Source organism: Homo sapiens, chromosome 20, assembly GCF_000001405.40.
Source record: "Homo sapiens chromosome 20, GRCh38.p14 Primary Assembly".
NCBI lineage: Eukaryota > Metazoa > Chordata > Mammalia > Primates > Hominidae > Homo > Homo sapiens.
Window position 1 is genome coordinate 2,002,872 of NC_000020.11, and position 6,000 is coordinate 2,008,871.

General features: G+C 45.0%; 1 long non-coding RNA gene across 1 annotated transcript in view, besides 1 other annotated feature; it reads left to right on the forward strand.

The window, feature by feature from the left end:
* Positions 1-4,646, forward strand: part of PDYN-AS1 (PDYN antisense RNA 1) — a 60,308-nt gene extending 55,662 nt beyond the window's left edge. The window contains exon 4 of the long non-coding RNA NR_134520.1: positions 4,061-4,646. This is a non-coding gene — a long non-coding RNA (PDYN antisense RNA 1). The remainder of the gene's footprint in view (positions 1-4,060) is intronic.
* Positions 3,052-3,346: a silencer, noted in NCBI's record as "tiled region #7514; HepG2 Repressive DNase unmatched - State 8:EnhW, and K562 Repressive non-DNase unmatched - State 10:DNaseD". NCBI's record gives its function as "represses a minimal TATA promoter and a strong SV40 promoter by Sharpr-MPRA in HepG2 and K562 cells {active_cell/tissue: HepG2 | K562}" and the evidence as "EXISTENCE:reporter gene assay evidence [ECO:0000049][PMID:27701403]".
* Positions 4,647-6,000: the final 1,354 nt, after the last annotated feature.

Below are 6,000 nucleotides of genomic sequence, written 5' to 3' on the forward strand. Positions count from 1 at the left end.
GCTGAGGCCCAAGCACGCGTATCCCCCACAACTGGGAAGGAAAGGAGTGAGTGCCCTAGGCCAGGTGGACACATATCTTGAATTTTCTCTTCTGCCTCCACCCAGAGGCCCTTTTTCAGGTCAACACTCCACAGGTGATATAAGGACCACCCACAAAGACCCCTTCCCTGTGGCCCTGTCAGAGTGGGGGACCAGTGAATCCAGATTCTCACTTCTGTGATGAGGAAATGGAGGTGCAGAGGGAAGACTATTGTCTTAAGGCCACACAACTCCATGGACAAGTGGGGCCTAGAACCTTGTTCTCCCCTTTGTGTTGTGCCTGCTCTGCCATCCTCTTCTTCACATTCTGGGTCTGGGGCCTGGCTGGAGATGGGGGTGATGGCTGGTGTAGGTGAAGAATTGCAGTCTGGAGAGGGGAAAAAAACTCAGCCTCTGGTATCAATTATGCCTGAGTTCTCCTCTGGGCTCCACTCCTGCTAACTGTGTGACTCTGGGCAAGTTACTCAACCTCTCTGAGCTCCAGTTGCCTCCTCGGTGAAACGGACATGGAGAAAAGCACAGAGTTGTCATGAGAATGGCAGATACTAAATATAATGAAGATTACAGTAGGTATTCTTGAAATGGGAGCTGATGGGACTGGTTCCACAATACTATTGTTAATTATAAACTGCCATTACTATTAATAGTAGCCGATCCTCCCCAAATTGAAGATGAAAACTTTTTAAAGGTTTTCTATGTGGTTTAACCTCACTGCTTTTTCTTCTCCTACCTCAGTAGCAGCATAAAAAGACCTGCACTTTAACTGCTTCCATTATTCTAGCCTGCCTGCATTTGCCAATTTCTAACTAAACATCTAGGATTCCTCCCCTCATCTCACCCAGAGACCCACAAGTACCCACAGAACAATATACACAGATTCACACCAAACAAACACTCATACATACACCTGGTTTTGAACGGACACACATATGCATGGTCAAATACACAGACCCTCACTAGTACTCAGATTCACACACAAACTTATAGAAGCACTACCTCACCCAAATACATATAGACACACACACAGAGAAACAACAGCAGCACTCATGCAAACACATCCTTCAACACGCACACTCCACACCCTCCCAGTTTTGTGACACACTCAGGAATATTAAAAGTTGCAGAGAATAGAAGTAGCTCGGAGCCTTGCTCCTGAGTTCTCTTTAAACAACTGGTCAGTGACAACTCAGGACTCCTTGGAGCCCTTGCTGAAGGGCCTTTATCAGCCTAAAGCTGAGCCTTCAGCCTGGGTCCCATCTCAGATAAGATCATTAATTTTCCATTGCAGCTTCTCTCTCTCTCTCTCTCTCTCTGAGTCATCTTTACAAGCCCCTGAAACAATGGTATTTAAGGAGGGAGCTTTCTCAACACCTGAAATCCCTACAGAAAGGTTGAGCTTCCTTGGTAAAGCATTTACCTGCTGGGGGAGGGTGCATGGAGTGACATGGTTTTCACATTTGAGAAAGGTAAGTGGGAGGGAATATCAGACAACTGCAGAGTGCAGATTATCATTTAAATAAAATCCCCATGGGGCTCGCTGGCAGCATTAAAATTGCTCCTGCCTCTGTGGTGCTGTCACAGAACAGCCTCTCTCCTTTATTCTGCTTTACCATAGAAAGAGGCAGTGTGGTGCAGTGGAAATACCCCAGGGCTGAATCCTAGGATTCAAGTCTGATCCATCATCTCTGGGCTGTGTATAACTAACTAGGCAATTCACTTACCTCTCTGAGTAATGATGTTTTTATCAATAGAATACAGTGATTAGGAGCAATGAAGGGCTCCAGAGCCAGACTGCCTGGCTGGGCCCTGGACTAGCTGTGTGATCTTTGGCAAGTTGCTTAATCTCTCTGGGCTTCAATTTTCTTATCAGTGAAGTGGAGTAATAACTTCACTTTCCTCATAGGGTTGTTGCAAGTATGATATTAATACATGTAAATGCTTATCACAGTGCCTACTATATACTCAATGATCAATACATGATAGCAGGTGCAGCAGTAACTGTCATTTTGTGTTTCTCATATTCCAGACACCCTGCTTTGTCCTCCTCAAGACCTACAGGATCTCGTCTTCATGTCCCCTATTGTCTAATCTACTCCACTCATACTGGCTCCCTTTCTGGTCCTTGGATATGCCATCTTGTTCCCACCTCAGGGTGTTTGCTCTTGTTGTTGCTTCTAGTCGGAATGCTGCCCTCCCCTAATATTTTCATGTTTTATTATCTCAATTCATTCACATCTGTGCTCAAATGAAACCTCCTCAAAGAGGCCTCCAATGATCACCTTATCTAAAAGAGAACCTTATCTATCATCATCTATCCTCTTGCTTGGAATTATGCTACACATTTGTGTACTTGTTTATTCTTTTTCTCATCCACTAGAATGTAAGTTTCAGGAAGCCAGAAATCTTGTCTTTCTTGTACTTGACTGTATATCTATAACTCCTATAACAGTTCCAGGCCATGGAAGCACTCAACAAATATTTATAGAATGCATGAATAAGTAAAAATATTATCACATTAAATATGGGTCAAAATGAAACACTCACTCAGCTTCAGCCTGTTAATCCCAGACAGATCTCTTTTGGGCTACTATATACCACATATATGACTCTGCCATATACATCTGAGTATCTGAGTCAGAACTTCCACAGCCAGTTCTGACTCAGAGCTGCCTACATTCTTGGGTGACAGACATGGATGAAAGCAGCTGGAGAAGGCATCGATGACTGCTGCCTTTTCCTTGCCCAGGAAGAGTCTAGAGAAAGAATCCACCACTTTTGCAGAACACTTTAAAATAGGGCTTTATGGGGCTGTGGACTCCCAGTACCCCTTCTCCCCCACCCACCCCCATTGTAGACATGATCATCCTGCATCACCTATCTGCCCAGTGTTTCCAGCTAGCAAGAAATGCCAAGTGGGGACATCTGGAAAAAGGAATATTAGCTTTGGATTCCAAGAGATGGCAAAATGAAGATGTCACTAATAGTCAGTGAAAAGCTGGCTCATTCTTCCTCTCTTTATTCACTTCCCCTGGGCTCCATTTTCTGCCTCAGCACCTGCGCCGCCTCATGCTCGGTAGCAGGAATTTGCTTTTCAGCACCACGGACAGCGATTGGCTGGCAGCCGGGGAGGCGAGGAAGCCAGAACGTGGGACATTCATGCAACCAAACAAATATTTACTGAGCACATCCTGGGGGCAGGCATACTGAAGAATACAGAGATTTATGTGGTCTTGACCTTTAAATCACTTAATCTCTTCGAGTCATCAATATTCCTAAACTGATACAGCTGGGGCAAGGCCCCGAGCCTCCTGATACTTGGAAAGTGTGGAGAATCAAAGGGAAAATGTTTCCCTTCTCAACAGTTGTTAAATTTATGCTGTGTATTTGCATATGTTATCTAATACTCTCATTAGACTGTCACCCTAAAAACAAACAAAAAAGCAGAAAACAGGTACTGCAATGTTGTATTCACCATTATACCGCAAGTACCCAGCACGGTGCCTGGCCCATAGTAGACACTCAATAGGTTTTTAATAAATGTGTGGATGAATGAATCCTCACAAAATCCTATTTTACCCATTTTTATTTTACCCCTATTTCATAGATGAGAAAACTGGGTCTCTGAGAACTCCCTTCTCGTGACAGCTATTAAGCGGCAGAGCTTAGGTTTGAATCCAGGACCTCCTAATTTCATGCTGTGCTGTCAAGCAGAGCCACTTAACTATGCGCTGGGCACTCTCGGAGCCTAGAAAAGGTGCCAGCTTGGGAGAGGCTGATTCTAACAATAGCACTGACTCACTATTCAACCTTGAGGGAATCATGTTTTTCTTTCTGGCCTCAACTTTGCCATATGTAAAATGGAAAAGGAGATTGTGTGGCTAATGGGTCCCCTCCCCACCCCACAAATGGCTTATAAGGGGCTCCCCGGAAGGCTTGGATCATGCGTTTGTTGCAGCTGGACCACGCGACCAGCAGGGGGCGCTATAAAATGAATTAAAACATCCTTCCCTTGCCTCCGCAGGGCGTCAAATGAGAAGCGTATTGATATCCCAGCAGACCTCAATATCCTTTTTCATCTTCCCGCTATAACCAGAATATGTGCGCAAGCAGTGCAGGAGCTCTTCTTTTTAGAGTGCAAAAAATGAACTTCAACCCCTCTCGAGAAGTGAGTAAAGAGGCAGCCCTAGGACACAGAGACAGTGCAGTGAGGCTGCCGTGACTTATCGCCCAGGAACCCACTGATTGAGTAACTTTGGACAAAGCCTCGAGCAAAGATAACTGTTTAAGTGGCTGCGGCAGCGGAAAAATCAGTTTGGCTGATTGATGTCCTGGGTTTCTTGTTAGTGGGTGGCTTCCAGCCATGGCTCTGCCTCAGCTCCCAGAATTACTCCAATAAGTGATTTGCTCATCCCTAACTCTTCTGAGGGGGTGGGGAGAGGGAGCTGAATCAGCCTTCTCACAACCCTGACTGGGATTTAATAGGGGACTAGTGGGCATTGGTGCACTGGGGGCAATGTGGGGAGAGGAGCAGATTTGTCAGGCTTGGCAAAAATATCTGGCTCCTGCCTGTGGGTGTGGAGGGGAAAATAAAGTCAGAAAAGAAGCGATTGCAGAGTGAATGTCTTTCAATTATTTGAAAAGAATGCAAATCAAATGTGTCACGAAGGCTGTTTCTGTAATCAAATCCTAGTCATTGAAATCTAGATTGACCAAAGTGGGTCTCCAGATTGAAGAGCAGTAACGGGGGAGCTTGGGAGATTTTTGTCAGGGAGCCCTACTCAGTGTAGGAGTCACCCGGGATCATCAGAAGGGAGCAGGCTCTGCAATTAACCAGACCTTGATTCAATCGTGGCTCTACTATTGACTGTCTGCAAGGCCTGGATCTAGTTGCTTAATCTTTCTGAAACTCAGCTTCTTCATTTGTAAGATGGGAGAATACTAATAATATATCTACTCTTTCAGCTCTCTATTCTTGCATATTAAACCACATTAACACTTCGTGGGATAACAAAGCAATCATTCGATTATGCTCACAGAGTCTTAGATCAGAAATTTAGACAGGATATAACAGGTATGGCTGTGTCTGCTGCATGATGTCTGGGGTCTCAGACTGGAAAACTCAAATAGGTGGGGGTTGGAATAACCTGAGACTTTTTCACATGGTCCCAGGCAGTGTTGCCTCAAAGGCTGGGTTCAGCTACAATGCCTTACCTTGGCCTCTCCAGCAGGATTCTAAAAGCTAGTGTTCCAGTGAACAGGCAGAAGTTGCATGACCTTTTATGACCTAGCTTTGCAAGTCACATAGTGTCACTTCCTTCGCACTCTGTTGGTCAAAACCATCACAAGGCCACTCAGATTGAGAGGAGGGGACATAGACCCCATCTCTAAGTGGAAGGAGTGTCAATTTACAGCCAAGTTTGAAAACTACCACACCTACCATGCATGGGTATTATTATAATTAAATGCCAGCAGCTACTCCTGTTCCCTCAGAGGATCAAACAGTTCTTGGTGAGAGCTTTTCATCATTCTTAGATAAAATCTATAAATTCTTACCATGGCCTATAAGGCCTGGCATGGTCTGGGCCCGATTTCTTCTCTAGCTTCTTTCTGCCCATCTCATCTCTCAAATGCTTTGCCATTTGCCTTCCTTCAGCAACTAAAAGGCATCATGCTCCTTCCCAACTGCCAAGTCCCTTTGCTCTGCTGCTACCTCTGCCTGGAACACTCCTTGCGCATTTCATAGCCTGGCAAAAATTATGTATACCTAGGCCACTGCTTCAGGGAAATCCTTTCCAATTCTCCAGACCTATGTCAGGACCCCCCTTACATGCTGTTAGAGAACCCAATACTTTTACATCATAGCACTAACCACAATCACTATGTAATTATTTAACTAACAGCCCTCCTTTGCTCCATGCTCAACCTGACCACCATCATGTCGACTAACAGACAGGGACCCCT